We start from the raw sequence: 15,243 nt of genomic DNA, 5'->3' as shown, positions 1-15,243 counted from the left end.
GAGACCCTGTTTCTACCAAAATTTTTAAAAACTTACCTCTGCACATATTCCAAAAATAATAATAAATTTAGAAATTGGCCAAGCATGGTGGTGCATGCCTGTAGTCCAAGCTACTCAAGAGGCTGAGGTGGAGCCTGGGAGGTGGAGCCCCTTGAGTAGCTGGGACTACAGGCATGCACTTGAGCCTGGGGAGGTCGAGGCTACAGTGAGCCATGATCACACCACTGCACTCCAGCCTTGCCGACAGAGTGAGACCTTGTCTCAAAAAAAAGGGGGGGTGGGGGGAGAAAAGGTGTAAGAATTAAGAAGCCACCCTCATGCTGTGATAAACATCTGCAAGCTTCAGCAACTGTCAGCTGAAGCAATCTGAATACTAAACGTTTTTGTGTCAGAAGAGAGTTACACTGAAGGCCTTTGACAGTGGTGCAAATGTGGGAGGCATAAAGCTGATACTTGGGGACCGGATGAGAGTTGTGACTGGGCCTGCATCCAAATGCCTGCTGTCACCAGTGATTCAGAAACAGTGGACTCACACAAGAGCTGAGAGGAGGTTTGGGCCCCATCAGTACTGACCACATCTTAAAAGGAAACCTGATTTGTGGCTCCTAGCAACCTAAAATCATAGACTGTTCAAAGAAACTAGAAATGTTTCTAGAAAGGAAGCTTAGGGCCCCACATAAACATCCTCGCCAGGGAAAGAAACTGGGACCCAGGGAGTCAGAAGAAATCTATTCCAAGAACCCAAACCATCTAATGTAATGTAAAAGAGACATTACACTTGATTTCCCTTCCAATTAATTCAGCTTTGTCCAATCACGTGAAATGAAGATACTGTAAACATGCAAATGGCCCTATGTTCTCCTTAAAGTGATTTTTGCCTCAAACAGTCTCGAATAATTAAATTTATGTGCCCTCCACAATGCAAAACTAAAGTATTATAAAGGTTTTCCTGTGGCCCCCAGTGACCATTAAGAGTACTTCAAAATATACAAATATACAGAATCATAGAAAAATAGCTTCTTCATCTAGACAGAGACAGCTATTTGCTTCGGCAAATATTGGGTCTTTGAGAAGACAGTGTCAATTTTATTGCTTTTTGAAATGCTGTGTAAAGTGTGGTACTTAACAATTTGCACATTGGGCAATTTCCATCTGTAAGTTTAAATATATGTGATAAGAAAAAGTACATGCATATTAGGAATATATAAAATTTTTCAAAATCATCATCTTTACATTAGAAATTTCTTTACACAAACATCTTAACTTTTAAAAAAAGTAGCAAATGGCTATAATGCTCTAAGACTGCAGAAAATCCAGCTTTCTGTTTAAGCAGCCTTTCACTGAGAGACACGAGTGATGGCAGATGAAGGCCTCTTAAGAATAGACTCAACAGAAAATGACAGTGGTTCATTCACCGAGAGTTTTGTTCCAACTTGTTTGGCTACAAAAAGGTCTTTTGCACATCTATCTATTGTAAATGTGTACTTCTGGTTGTCCTTAACTAAACACTCTCTGTGTTTCTTAGGGGTCTCTTCAAAGGCCTCTTTGACAAATGGTGTTTTCAACTCAGGACCCGATTTGTCAGTAAGTGTTTGCTGGAATAATGAGTGGAATGGATTATGTCTAAGTGGCAGAGGGTGCCTGGTGTTTTCTTTGCTGATCTTCGTTAAGACATGCCCTTGAGCTGCCAGGGAGTCCGTGTCAACAATGGGAGAGAAATTCCGTCGGGGTGGGGAGAACGCGGACCTCTCTGGGACAGCCTGATGACCCTGAAGGTCACTTCTCGTGGTCTGGATCTCAGGAGTGTGAGGCAGCACCAGGGAACCTTCCAATTTCGATGGCATCATGTCCTGCTCTGCACTGAGTCCATCCTGGACTCGTGCTCCCTTCAAGTCCCAGCTGGCCCCAGGCTTCAGGGCTTGAACTGAGGTGGTGGCATTTAGCAGGCATTGCTGGTAGAGGAGGGTGTCGCTAATGGGGCCACACTTGGGCCAAACTAAAAATCTTGAGGACAAGGGATACTGTCTATAAGTTGTGGCCACGCTGACATTAGAAGAAATTAGTTCCATATTCCCAGACCCTGAATACTGCATGGTTAAATCAAGGCAGGTGGGCAAAAAATTACAGAAGTCCTTGCTTGGTGGTTCCACTGGGCTGGGGCTGTAGGCACTTTTGTAGGAATTGTAGTCAGGTCCAGGCACCATGCGGTTGGGCAGAAACAGAGCAGCAGCTTGAGAAGTTTCCAACATCTCCCTTTCTTTATATTCTCTCTCCAGCATAATGTTCTCCAACTCTTTATCAGCAAAGGCTCTTCTTTTCCTCATCCTGTCACTAACTGGGGGAGGTAGAGGGAAGGTCCCTCCTACATAAGTCTCCGCTGGAATGGGGCGATAGCCTACAAGAAGCAAAGATTGCACATGAAAGAGATTAACATCTACGGAATAAAAATGTGGAAACCCAGAAGGTAACAGCAACACTACAGATCAGCAGAACAATTATTTACAGTTCCATCTCACTGATATTTTTATACAGATGCAAAAGTACAGATTAGGTTTGAAAGAGTTTCCTGGGAGGGTGAAAGATATCCATACTGCAACTTCTTCTTGTTGTTGTTCTTGTTCTTGTTGCTTGTTGTGGTTGTTATGGATTTGTTTGCTTGCTTGCTTCAACAGACATACTTTATTGATTAAAATTTTAATATTCTTCCCAGGCCCCCTACGCATTAAGAGACAAGACTATTTATCTTGTATCAATCAATGTTTTATTATTATCCATGTCATCTTTTTTCATTATTAAAAAATATATCTATACCTAGAGCTGATGTCACTTTTATTTTCTAAAGATGGTTCATTATGTACACATAATAGCTGTAGAATAATCCAAGGAGAACTAGGAAAAAAGAGAAAGAAAGAAAGTTAAAGGAGATTAGCGAGTAGAAAAAGAAAAAAAAGGCTTAAGAAAATAGAGAAGCATAGAAAATTGAAAAGAGCTGTTAACTAGTCAAACACACTCTACAGTGAACAATTTAACCAGGCCCCTTCCCCTGATACCACTACAAAAAAAAATAAAATAAAATAAAACAAAACTCAAAAAAGGCGGGGAGTATTCCCTGCTCTATCGAAAATAACTGTTCTGAAACATTCTTCCCAAGCTCTAATCATTTTGGCCGGATACCAAAATGGTTGAACAAGCAATCATTAAAACACAGGCTAAGTCATCGCACGAATAGGAGCAAACTCAAATACAAAGATTAGTGTAACATAAATAGAATTCCTGGAGGCATAAAATACTTGGAGTATTTCATCACCCCCAAGCACTCACCTCTGTCATATTTGTTTGAAGCATCCATTGTTATATTTGTGTTTACATAGTGACAAACCCATTATACTCATTTGCAAATAAAATAAAATTTGAAAATTAATGTTTACATTTCTATGATAAGTTTTTGCCAGGAAGTTATTTAGTTGAATTTACTATTCCATTTAGTCCTCAGACTTCACAAGTTGCTTTGCATAATCTCAGTTTATCAATGTGGCCCTATTATTATAAATCTGTTTATCCAGTTTGTAACCAAATTCATTTTTAATTCATAAGAAACCACTCTATGGTCAGAAGTATACAACACATGATAGGACACACACAAACTTCAAAACCTGTCCAGAACCAACAAAATTCAGAAGCTACACAAGAAAAAAACAGAATCCAAATGTCTACTTAAAAATTTTTATAGGACACACACAAACCTGTCCAGAACCAACAAAATTCAGAAGCTACACAAGAAAAAAACAGAATCCAAATGTCTACTTAAAAATTTTTGTTTACTTTCAACCTGAATTTCATGAAGTGGCAGTGATTAAAGCAAACATTAATTGTCCCTTATTTAAATTTTTAAAAATTTAAAGAGAAACGGTTAAAAATAGTCAATATATTATTGAGGTCAATAAATAAATTCCATACCCAAATAGAGATGCTTTTAAAAATGAGTAATATTTTAAGAAAAATTAATGTACCCCCAGGCTTTCACGAAAGTGAGAACATGGAGACAGAAAGCTAGAGATTTCGCACTGTTCGCATTCAACCTCCACTTCGCTTGCTGGATTCGAAACCTTTTTCAGATTCTATAACCTTGACTGTCAAAAAATGGTAAAAATGAAGTTTGGAATAATAGGAATTATCCAAGTAATCCAAAAAAAAAAAAAAAAGTACAATGAAAAAGAGCGGAATCTGAGGTTGAACTTCCAGACTAAACGGCTTTACTGGTTGCGAGCAGCTGTTAAACTCCTCACTTGACTTCATCTATTCAGCTCCCACAACTAAGAAAAGTGGACGTGGTTGTGTTGTTTTGTTTTGCTTTGTTTAAGTTATTTATTTCCTTCCAAGACATCTGCTCCAGGATCACTTGGCAGTATATCTTTGTACATCCCTCATACGGGGTAAATTTCACATGCACTCCACATTAACCGATTAACCACTAAGCAGACAACCAAATAATAGGGATTCTTCAACTGGTGGTGACAGAAACCTCAGGAGGTATGTGAGATTCATTTTCCCAGGTGGCGGTTTCCTTCCTAGAAGAAAACTTTCTGGTTCCCGGGCCATGCTAATCTTCTCCGTACGGGTTCAGTTTTAGCGTACGGGCTCAGCGAACACCTAAACAAAACCTTTCTAATAAAAAGTACTTTCCCTTTAGATAGCTCTTTCACAGATTAATAAACACACTTTGTGCTGATTAATGAGAGTCACTCAACTCTGTTTAAAAGGCTGAAGGATAATTTTGTTGCTTTACCTTCTAAAATGCTTTTGGCCAGCAAACTGGGGGCTCTGACTTGCCTCTGGTACACAGCTTTGCGCTCGAAATTATTCTGTTTCCCGGAAAGCCCCTTCTTGTCCTGTAAACACAAGAAACATCATCAATAATGCCCTGAAAGAAAATGGGGGCGAGAAGGGGGAAGGACGGGATGTCCGTAAATCTTCTAGAAACTCTCCCCCTTCTAAATGTATTGAATTTTCCCATTCCGTGTGAAAAATAATTACAAACGAATTAATATCAGCACCCCTTAATCCTAGGGCAAGGAGCTGGAACCTCAGCTGGTGAGCTGGATCCCCTGCTTTCCGCAGCATAGTCACTCTAGACTCTAATCACTCTAGATATACGCAGACCTATGGCCAGAAGTGAGGGGACATCCCGGAGGGAAGTGAAAAAGTGAAATCCCTTTCAGGGGGGCACCCGACCTCAAGAGATGGTTGCAGCCAGGCTGGGTCCTGGGAGCCCACCTGTCGGATAGAAGGTGCCCAAGGCCTGCTGTGAAGCAGTGAGGCCGGGCGGATTTCTCCCTGTGGCAGGGCAGGCAGGGTGGGGTGATAGGGGAATGAAGAGATGAGGGTCTCCTGGGTCCGGCTGCAAACTCCAAATTTGCGCTTTGCGGACACCCACCCTCGCCTCTGCAGTCACCTATCCCACCAGCTGGTGGGATTCTGGGCCCTCCCACGCCCGCGTCCTACCCAGCATATGCTACAGAGAACGCGTGGGAACGCAGGGCAGGCGATGACCCATGCGGGACGCGGGAGGAGACCAAGCCCAGGACCAGGTGCCCATGGCGTCCAGCGCGCTCTCCTGGGCCCTCGAGAGGCTTTCCAGTGGGGTTACTGCCTTCAGTGTGTCTGGCGATCCACTCCCCAGCTCCTCTCCGCCAAAAAGTAAAATTGAAAGTCTTCCCTGGTCCTGAGTCTGGGAGGAGGCCCTGTGAAGCCTCGCTCGCTGAACTCTCCCTGTCCAGGCGCACATGGAAACAAATACAAAATCGAAGGTTCAAGAGCGTCTCTCGGAAAGAAAGCCCTGGCTCTCCTCGCAGCTGGAGTCCTCCGATGGGAAGCAGCAGAGACCCTCCCCTTGCTCTTAGGTAGTTTGCAGGGACAGTAGCTTCGGATTGATGACCTTGGGCTGCAGGCATCTAATTTCTCATGCATTTTGTGTCTCATCCATAAAATGAGTGTTCTAGATATCTCAAACGTCCAGGTGACAGCTGAAGCACCGAGCGCATGCGTGCTGCGTGGTTCTTTTTCTCCATCATCACCAGTACAGCAGTGACGAGCCTGGAGCTGCACGCCGTGCTGTGGATCAACCACTCTCCCCCCAAGCCCCCGCCCTCAACACCACGAAAATGCACTTTAAAATGCAAAAAAATAAAAACATTGATTTTCTCGCGATGTTCCAAATGGGCCTAAACACTTTCAAGGCCTCTCTGCCTGCTTTTTAAGACAAAAACATTTCCCAAGTTCCCCAGAGATGCCTGCTTTTTCCCTCCCGACCCTGCTCGCCAGTGCAAGCAGAAAAGCGTTCTTACCATCCTTCCTAGGGAGTGCCAGGCACCGCAAGGCCCTGGGCGCGGGGGGTGTGGACGGCCGCCCCGCTCCCCTCCAACTCCCCCACCTCCACTGTGGCCTGAGACGCCCGGGCCGGGCGGGTACGCACCTCGGTGGCCTGCTGCCTCCGGAGCGCCACCTGGGCGGCCATGACGCGCTGCCGCTCCACCACCAGCAGGCAGTTGGCGCACTGGCAGTCGCGCCAGCGACAGAAGCGCTTGTGGCCCTTCAGGCAGGACACCACGCCGTGGTTGCGGCAGCGCGCGCACTTGGGCGTGCGGCTCAGCTTGCGCGGCTCCGCGCCGCCGCCCGCGGGAGTGCAGCGCTCTCGGGGACCGGTGCCGGCGGGTGAGGCCTGAGGCGCGAGCGGCGGCCTCGGCTGCGGTCCCCCCCGCTGCTCCGGCTGGCCGGGCATCCCGGGGGACGCGCCTGCCTCCTCGCCGTCGCCCTCTTCTTCCGCGTCTTCGTCCACCCCGTCGTCATCTTCGTCGTCCTCGCAGTCCCCGTCCGCCGGCGGCGGGCTGGGCCCGGGGGGCGTGGACCGCGGCGCCCCGCAGACGTCCTCTTCCAGCTCCAGGCTCTCGACATCGATCTCCCAGTCCCCGGCCGCGGAGCCAGCCTGCGGGTCGGCCATGGCGCTCGGGGCTTCGCTGGGGCCTGAGCCTGGCGGCCCTCACTCTGGGGAAACACAAAGAAATCCAAAGACCCACCGGCCGCCGTCAGGGACCATCCCTGAGCCTCCGGCCCAAAGCTCCTGGTCTGCCCGCCTCCGGCCGCTTGAGTCATCCTGTTCTCATTACATGTCCCTCACTTCCAGGCCACACGTGCCTTTCCTGTATCTCCAGGGCCCCCAGGGATCCACAACCCAACAAAGGTTTTATTTTATTAATTCTAAGTGCTCTGTGAGTACCTGACCTTTAACCGTGGCCCTCTCTGGCTTTACACGGGCTTTCCGGACAAGTCCCTGGGTAACTCACTTATCACACACACACAAAATATTGTGTCCAAATAGGCAGCCCCAGGCCACTTGTCGGATTTCCCCATACTCAACTAGTATGGCCATGATGCATATAAAACTATCCGTGGAAGAACAGTTTTCCTTTGATTACAAGTGGCCCTTCAGACTCACTGAAGTACCACTCTATGCTTCCCAAATGCCTCTCATCAGCCTACACCACCACAAGGACCCCTCCTTGGGCTTGAAGAGGTCCTCTCACCCCCCTCCCCAAAATACTCAACTGAAAACCAAAATTTTGTTGTCATTAGCGTCCCATAAGGGCAAAGAGCACAATACAGACGCCCGTCCAGCCTTAATAGTACCTGAGGTGCACAGGGCTGAGCCGCGTGGGCTCTCTGTACTTAGGCCTTGGTTTATATATTTAAGGTAAGGCATCCAAGTCACACAGAAAAGGTGAAAGATGATTCACGCCCTTTGCCCTCCCTGACACCCCGAGCGGCATCACAGCACTCACCAAAACTTTGAGGCCCGGGCTGGTAGCCCAGTTAAAAGATATCCAGCTTTAGGATCTGGCGCTAGGGCTGCTGGCTGTGCATGCAAACAGAAATCGGGGTCGCTACCCTCAAACACGAGATCGGGAGCTGATAGCTGGAGGCCCGGAACGAACCCACTGGATGGTGGAGGGGGAGGGAGAAGGTAGGTGGAGGGAAGGAGGGAGGAAGCCAGTCAAGTCCTCAGCGACCTAGCCCAGCACATCCCGAACTCTGCAAAGTTCTGCTCGGTCTTCTGCAGCCTCGGGCGCCTCACCTTGCTGAGGCCGCTTTCGGCTTCCTCTGACCCAGGCTGGGCGGGAAAGGTCGGGCCGCCCCCGCCTGGCTCAGATCGCTGGCTCACCCGGCGGGCGCGCGCAGTTGCATTCAGCGCAGCGCCACTGGCTTCAGTCTGCAGACTGCGCTCCCCTTCCTAGTACTGTCCGCTCAGGCCCCGGAGCTTTACGTCCTCTGATTGGCCGGTTGTCAGGCGGTGTGAATACTGATTGGCCGAGGCACGCTGGCAGGGAGCCCTCCGCCTCCCGCGGTCTACACTCTTCTCTCTGAAGCGCTCCGCCAGAGTCCGCCTACCGGGCCTTCGGTGCAGCCGGCTCGCCTGTCCAGAATCTAAACCCGAGGTATGACGGTGCCTGCAAGAGAGAAGTCACCATTTATCTCGCGGACTGGGAAACAAGCAGAGATACATTCTTAGGAATGCGTTGTCCACAAGAGAAGGTAATAAACGACGAGGAAGAGATCAGAAAGACCAGTATTGGCCTCTATCAGCATCACAAGCATTTCTGCGACTCAATCAATCATTAATCCAAACTGGGCGTAAAAATGATGCCTCTCTTTCGGGGCGTACAGCGACATCCTTCTTTCTCCTGCAAGAGTACATCAATGGTTACCTGGCACCGAAACTCCTAGTTAGCATACAAATAGCCTGTTGATATTTCTGTGTCTAGTGCCACCTATTCTCGAAGTGCCAAATAGCTCCTCATTAACCTTCACCGAGCCCGTGTGGCAGGTGGCCAAGTCGACTACAAGTCACTTACATTTTTCTGTTATATCAGTTGCTATTACAGTTAATGTAGGGAAGATCAGAAATGCATGCTATTAAGAGAATTAGGTAAATCCATTCACACTAAGCATGCATTTAAACAAAGTTATTTTTAAAAAGATGACTACTTTTTAGTGTGCGTAGTTGTATTTATAGACTTTCTAACGACTCCCTCAAAAAATCCTTTACAAAATGTTTAACGATAAAAAATTTTCAACATATTAAAAGAAGGAATTAGTCTTCTAATTCAACGCTGCATTCTATTTCTTGAACTCAATTAAAAATAATATGGGCGCTTTTCTAACTGCATCTGTAAATAATCAAGACCTCTCGAGTAGGATCTGTTTAGGAGACTACAAAATTGGGTATCATTGCACTGAGTACATAGTAGGCCCGCAACAAATATTTGTTGAAGGGTGGGAATTCCTGACGTAATCCCAACGTTACTTTTGTCCGAGTTTGTCAGAATGTTAAAAGTTAACCTGGATCAGAGAAGTGGGAACAAAGGCAGCTTAGGAACTACCGCGACCAGCCAGAAGCACTATTCTCAAACCTTCAGTGATGTTGTAAAGTTCCTCCCCGGTGACCAGGCACTGGGATTCCCATTTGTACGGGTGCTTCTTCCCAGAGCCTCTTGCGAAGCCCAATGAAGGAAGTAGAGAAACAGTCCTGCTTATTCCCATCGGCTTTTCGGTAGCTCTGGCGACTCAGAGGGTGACTTGGGAGCGGTGCGCGCTCCGACAAGCGACAGGGAGGTCATACAGACTTTTACTTCCTCTCCCTTGACACCACCTTGTAACGCCAGGTTCTTTTTGCACATTTTTTATACCCAGTCATCAAAGCACATTTCCTTCACCTGCACTGGAGCGTTTAAATTCTTGACAGCAACAGAAATATGTTCCTATCCCCGTTTTTCCAACGACGAAACTGAGGTTCAGAGAGGAGCCCTGGATCACCCAGTAGTCTCGGGAAGAGCAATGGACCTTGTCGACCTCTGTTCTGAAGTCCCAGAAATTTTGCAGAGCCCCTCACTCCCAGCAAGAAAGACTCGCCATGGGTTTGCTTTTTTAAATTTTATTCCCCTGCACCCCTTCTGATGTGAGTACCTGGGACTACTCCCAGCAGCCCTCCTGTAACAGGGCCCAGCACGTTTTTATCAAATCACTCTGTTTTTTCAGCGTCTTCCCCTGCTAGCTACATTTCAGCCTTTGCAAACAGGCTTCTGCCCCGCGACGTGTATGCAAACTACAAACCCCCACCACCGCTGGCCGTGTGTGCATGCGGTTGGCAGGCTGGGCTTTTATTTTATTTATTGCTTTTAAGGTTAGGGGTGGTGGTAAGGAGATGAAATCATTAGCCCTTCACCAGTTGTTTTAAATGTTAAGAAACAAAATCAAGAAAGTAGGTTTGCTAACTTTGGGAAACTAGATTGAGGGGAAGAGGGACTGGAGGAGAAACAGGAGGAGAAAGGGGTGTAAGCCTCTGTTCCCAAAACTGAAAGTAAACGAGCAGCCGAGCAGCTCTTGAACTAGTTCGAAATTTTAAAACTGCTGCATAAGGAGGAAACAAGCGGGATTTGGGTACAATAAACCACGCTGGCTGAGGCCAAATGGGAGATGGGACTGCAGGTCCCAGCGTAGGCAGAGAACAAGGCCCTCAGAATGTTCCGGCAGAGCCACCAGCCTTCCTCCTGTGTGTCCTCCATCCGTACTGACATAGGGAAAGCTGAGCCCCAGTGCTTCCTGGAGGACCTCAGCCCGTGGGTCCCAGCGGGGTGGGCTCGGAATTGTTTCCTCCCTAGCTCTCAACCCTCACCTCTAGCAAAAACGTGCACAACAGCCCCACTGCTCTCTCCAGACATCTTGCCCATCTCCACGTGCCCCACCCTCCCTACACACCCGTCTGCGGCACAGGGGAACCAGCAGCTGTAATCATAACTCAGTTGAATTACACTCAATCAATCCGCCCGGAATGCCTCCAGAGAATCGGGATCCCAGCAATTACTGGGAAGCGAGGTCGTGGGGCGGGGCAAGGGGGAGGAGAAAGAGGATCTTTATCCTGGGACTAACTTCAGGAAGTCCGAGAAGCTCCGATATTGAATGGGAAAATAAGTACATTTTGGGGAAGGGGAGGAGTAATTATAGATTTTACCGGATTGTGAAGGGAATCTACGGCTGCTCAAACAGTTTAGTAAATTAAATATTCAGAGGGAATAGGAGCCAGAGAGCCTGGGCTCGAGCTGTTTGTTCCACTGGCTGGGTGATCTTGGTCAGTTAGTTTTCTGCGGCTCAGTTGCCTCAGTTGCCTCATCTGCAAAGGGGAAAGAGTAGCCTTCCTTGGCCCCACTCCGCAATTATGAGGACAGCAGGTCTTCACAGGTTAGGAGTTCGGTACAGACGTTGATTTCCTCTGGAGGTAGCAGCACAGCCAGTCCGGGAGGGCCCGGCCAAAGCGTGCCTTGAAAACTTGATTGAAAGGCGAGGGCTCAAGGAATTCAGCTCCCCTCTTGAGGTCCCTCTCTTAAAAGGGGTCAGGCCGTGACTGAGGACCTGGTGAGGTGAGGAAACAGAAGTCCTTTGCCTTGTAAACCGACACCAAATTACAAAGTACCATTCGGAGTCCCTCTTGTAAATTACAAAGCAACTGGGCCGCTGTTGACTCAGCCCGTGGAGCTCGGCCGGCGGGGCTCGCCTCTTGGAACTGACCGGCCTGGGGCCCCCTTCCCCCTCTGCCTCCCTCTCCCTTTACCCCAAATCTCTCTCACCCTGTATCCCTTCCCTTTCTGGCGCTGCTCAGACCCACCCGGTGAGAATCTCTCTTTGGGCGAGTCACGTATGGGAACCTCAACAAGAAAAGAAGGAGGCCCAGCACTTTGGGAGGCCGAGGAGGGTGGATTGCTTAAGGCCAGGAGTTCGAGACCAACCTCGACAACAGGACGAAGCCCCGTCTCTACTAAAAATACAAAAAAAATAGCCGGGCGTGGTGGAATGCGCCTGTAGTCCCAGCTATTCAGGAGGCTGAGGTGGGAGGATCGCTTGAGCCTGAGAAGTCGAGGCCGCAGGTGCGCCGAGATCGCGGCACTACACTCTAGCCTTAGGCGACAGGAGTGAGACCCTGGAGACTGAGAGAGAGAGAGAGAGAAAACTCTTTGTTGTTGTTGTTTCCTGGATGAGGGTGGTTTTCTTGTTTTCTTCAAACACCCTGCCACAAATTTAAAAATAAAATAAATAAAGGAGGAAAGTGAGTTTCAAACTGGCTCCCTCTCACCCACCCAGTTCTTTTTACGAATCCCATCCCACCCAGTTCGCCCCGGAGCCACGCAGCCCAGGTGGCTTCCCCCTCGCGTAGCCACACGGGCTCGGATCCCATTCGAGGGTCCCGACTTCTGCAGCCCCGCCCTGCCCCTTCCCACTTCGCTCCCAGAGCTAATCGCGGGAGCGGATCCTGCCCCGAGCATTCCCCCCACACCCCCCAGCTCCGCCCGGACTCTGCGCGGACGGCCCGGCTTAGAGGCCCAGCCTGACAGAGGCGGGTTGGAGTGCGGATCCGCCCCTCCCTGGCCGGGACAGTGAGGAGGTCCCTTAACCCTCCTCTGCGCCTCGCTTTCCCCAACTGCAGAATGGAGGCCACCTAAGAGGAGGCGACGCGCGTGGACGCCCCGGCACGGTGACCCGCCCACACTGAGCATTCAGTGCTTGCGCGTAATTTGTATCATTTTTGTGGTTGTTTCAACTCCGTGAGCTAGCCTGCAGAGCGCCCGAGGCTGGGGGGCATCCGAAGCCCGATTTCCTCCCTATTCCACCCAACTCTCCAGCTTCGGAGGCCTGCAGAGGAGGCTGGGGGCCGGCGGGAATCCTCGCCTTCCACCTGCAGCCTAAGTCGCCTGTGGCTAAGTCAACCTGCCGCCAGCGCCCAGGGTGGCGACCGGCATTTGAAAACGTCTGAGCATCCCGAGAGAAGTGCTTTGCTGTGGCCGGCTTGGCTGTGGCTCCTCCAGAGCCGGCCTCGAAGGCACCTCCTTCTGCGGAAAGCCGCTCAGCGTTGCACCGTCTCACGACTTCCACCGGCTGCGGACGCGGCGAAATAAATAATCCCAGATGGGATTGCGGACATAGGATTTCCCAACTTACTTTGCGTAATCAAATACGCGACCCGTCGCAAGCCATGGGGGTGGGGAGTGGAGACTGCGGGAGACAATTCTCTCCGCCAGGCTGTTCGAATCCTCCCTTTCCGGCCGCGCGCGGTGGCTCACGCCTGTCATCCCAGCACTTCGGGAGGCCGAGGCGGGCGGATCACGAGGTCAGGAGATCGAGACCATCCTGGCTAACACGGTGAAGCCCCGTCTCTACTAAAAATACAAAAATTAGCCGGGCGTGGTGGCAGGTGCCTGTAGTCCCAGCTACTCGGGAGGCTGAGGCAGGAGAATGGCGTGAACCCGGGAGGCGGAGCTTGCAGGGAGCCGAGATGGCGCCACCGCCCTCCAGCCTGGGCGACAGAGCGAGACTCCGTCTCAAAAAAAAAACCAAAAAAAAAAAAAAAAAAAGAATCCTCCCTTTCCCTGCTCCGATTTACAAAGGAAAGGAAAAACTGAAGCTCGGAGAAGCTCATGGGAGTTGCTGGGAGACACACAGCTAAAACAGTGGCTGTGCGGGGTCAAAGAGCACCTCCAGCTCCCTGCCTCATACCGTCTTTTTAAATGTGCTCTTTGCAGCGGGATACGGAGTCAGACGCCGACTATGAAGTAATCGTCCCTTCCTAGCATATCTATCTGGAGGATCTGCCAGCCCGCCTGTCCCAACCCCCGGCAGCTTCCATCCTCCATGCTGGGAAACGTGGCTCAATTCCCTTGGGGGGCTGGTAGCAGCCAGGAGATGAGGCAACTGCAGACTTTCTTGACTTCTCAGTACCCATTCCAAATGGTCCTCAGGGGAGGCAGATACCGTGGGCTGTACTGGGGCCTGGGTTCCACCCCCGGGGCTGTGGCCTTGCTATGGAAGGCAGTCCTGGGAGGGCATGTGGCTGGTTGCCACATCAGGAGACACACAGCTCTTCACCCCCGAGAGCCTTCTTGCAGCCCCTAGGGGTCCTCACGACTAACTGGAACAGTAAACCCTTAACTCTGAGAACTTTCCACTCCCTATTCCCATTCTATTTTGGGGTTTTACATTTCAAGGGGGCAGGCTTTATCCACACTGAAATCACTCTCCATATTTTCCCAGCAGTCTAACAACCAGGTAGAGAGGAATCAAGGCGGGGCGGGGCGGGGGGGGGATTGCCAAGTGTTGGCAAGGCAGGTGCTGTGATGAAAAGTTAACTTCTTCCATGTGCATGAACCCCTCAGCAAATCTTTCCACCTTCCTGGGCCTGGGCTTCCTTGACTGTAAAGTGAAGGAGGGAAGTACATTGATTTCTAGGTTCTGCCTCAAACGTTAAAGACTGTAACAAATCTTAACTCCCATCTGATGGACTGCTTGCTCAGGTAGCAAGATCAAGGGTATGAAGAAAGTCCAAGCTGGACAGGAGGAGGAGAGGAGAAGGAAAAGAAGGTGGCGTGTGGGGAATTAGAAACAAGCTTTGGCATTGGTTTTGACATTTTGGTGATATTTTTGCTCCTCTATGCTACTGCTATTAATCTTACCTAGTTAAAAATGTAGGGGGTGGGTGGAATCTATCAACTAGGGAAACGATGGGACATGGAGTAGTTTCACAAAAGATTCAGTTTCCTAGAGCCCAGATCCAATAGGATTCATCCAAGTGACAAAGAAGGTTGCCACAAGTCACAAAGGTTCCATGATCCTGTGGCTTCTAGGTCAGGTTCATTCTGACTGGACTTTAAGCCAAAAATTACCAGGCTTCCTTAGCCCTGTCCTGTGCGAAGCTGACTCTGAGGTCTGAGTTTCAGCTCTGTGGAGGGCTGAAATATTGCCTTTCCTGTTAGCCCCAGGAGATCCCTCTGAAAAGTGTTCTTGCTGGAGGAGGGATTCCCCCCAATTATGCCAGAAGAATCCCTGTGCTCAAATTTTACCCACGCCTGGGAGAAGACTTGCCCAGAACACATGCTCCATAGTGTTTTTCAGGATGGAGTGGGAGTGAGAAAGGAGTGTCTCAGAGGAGGGATCAGAGTGTACTCGGCTCTGTCGTTGGATAGCCAGCGACTCCCCATGATGTCCAGGTGACAAGTGTGATGCTAAGTTTTGCAGCCAACTGGCAAAAGCACAGACACCTTTAAAGAGTACTTGACCTGCCTAAGAGAATGATTATTTTTGTCCATGAAATAAGTAGCAAAAAATATATAGTAAGACTCTAGGGATTCTCCTGTTCTACTCCTGGTT

The 15,243-nt window shown here is 49.4% G+C and overlaps 1 protein-coding gene and 1 long non-coding RNA gene across 13 annotated transcripts, besides 3 other annotated features; both read right to left on the bottom strand.

Annotated features, from left to right (window-relative positions):
• DMRT2 (doublesex and mab-3 related transcription factor 2) lies at positions 1,059–8,254 on the bottom strand. Of its 12 annotated transcripts, NM_001130865.3 has the most exons (6): positions 8,129–8,254; positions 7,836–7,991; positions 6,473–7,041; positions 4,787–4,889; positions 2,812–2,889; positions 1,059–2,395 (listed from the first exon to the last, which is right to left on the bottom strand). In NM_001130865.3, the coding sequence occupies exons 3-5, from the start codon at positions 6,995–6,997 to the stop codon at positions 2,837–2,839; spliced, it is 681 nt and encodes a 226-aa protein (NP_001124337.1). In that variant the 5' UTR covers positions 6,998–7,041; positions 7,836–7,991; positions 8,129–8,254; the 3' UTR covers positions 1,059–2,395; positions 2,812–2,836. The 12 variants fall into 12 exon arrangements, 11 of the variants coding, with proteins under 11 accessions (NP_001124337.1, NP_001357462.1, XP_016869703.1 ...); NM_001370533.1 differs by having other exon boundaries at positions 7,836–8,254; XM_017014214.2 differs by lacking the exon at positions 2,812–2,889.
• Positions 7,613–8,482: an enhancer, noted in NCBI's record as "H3K4me1 hESC enhancer chr9:1050129-1050998 (GRCh37/hg19 assembly coordinates)". NCBI's record gives its function as "activates a minimal SCP1, AML or CMV promoter by ChIP-STARR-seq in primed H9 embryonic stem cells {active_cell/tissue: H9 hESC(primed)}" and the evidence as "EXISTENCE:reporter gene assay evidence [ECO:0000049][PMID:30033119]".
• LINC-ADAIN (long intergenic non-coding adipose anti-inflammatory) lies at positions 9,970–10,468 on the bottom strand. The gene has a single exon (NR_110643.1). It is a non-coding gene; the product is annotated as a long intergenic non-coding adipose anti-inflammatory (long non-coding RNA).
• Positions 10,464–10,651: a silencer, noted in NCBI's record as "fragment chr9:1047960-1048147 (GRCh37/hg19 assembly coordinates)". NCBI's record gives its function as "represses an EF-1alpha promoter that drives an FKBP-Casp9 reporter gene in an ReSE screen in phorbol 12-myristate 13-acetate-treated (for megakaryocytic differentiation) K562 erythroleukemia cells {active_cell/tissue: K562(+PMA)}" and the evidence as "EXISTENCE:reporter gene assay evidence [ECO:0000049][PMID:32094911]".
• Positions 11,055–11,920: an enhancer, noted in NCBI's record as "H3K4me1 hESC enhancer chr9:1046691-1047556 (GRCh37/hg19 assembly coordinates)". NCBI's record gives its function as "activates a minimal SCP1, AML or CMV promoter by ChIP-STARR-seq in naive H9 embryonic stem cells {active_cell/tissue: H9 hESC(naive)}" and the evidence as "EXISTENCE:reporter gene assay evidence [ECO:0000049][PMID:30033119]".

This window comes from Homo sapiens, chromosome 9 (assembly GCF_000001405.40).
Source record: "Homo sapiens chromosome 9, GRCh38.p14 Primary Assembly".
Taxonomy (NCBI): Eukaryota; Metazoa; Chordata; class Mammalia; order Primates; family Hominidae; genus Homo; species Homo sapiens.
The sequence above is the reverse complement of the archived record's forward strand: the minus strand, read 5'-3'. Positions and strand labels throughout refer to the sequence as shown.

Bases quoted from the DNA above. Each gene is read 5' to 3' on its own strand.
- DMRT2 (NM_181872.6), bottom strand. From the start codon at position 6,997: ATGGCCGACCCGCAGGCTGGCTCCGCGGCCGGGGACTGGGAGATCGAT. The intron at 4,890-6,472 runs GTGCGTACCCGC...TTGTGTTTACAG, and splicing joins GGAGGCAGCAGGCCACCGAG to GACAAGAAGGGGCTTTCCGG. The intron at 2,396-4,786 runs GTAAAGCAACAA...TGCTTCTTGTAG, and splicing joins GGCCAAAAGCATTTTAGAAG to GCTATCGCCCCATTCCAGCG.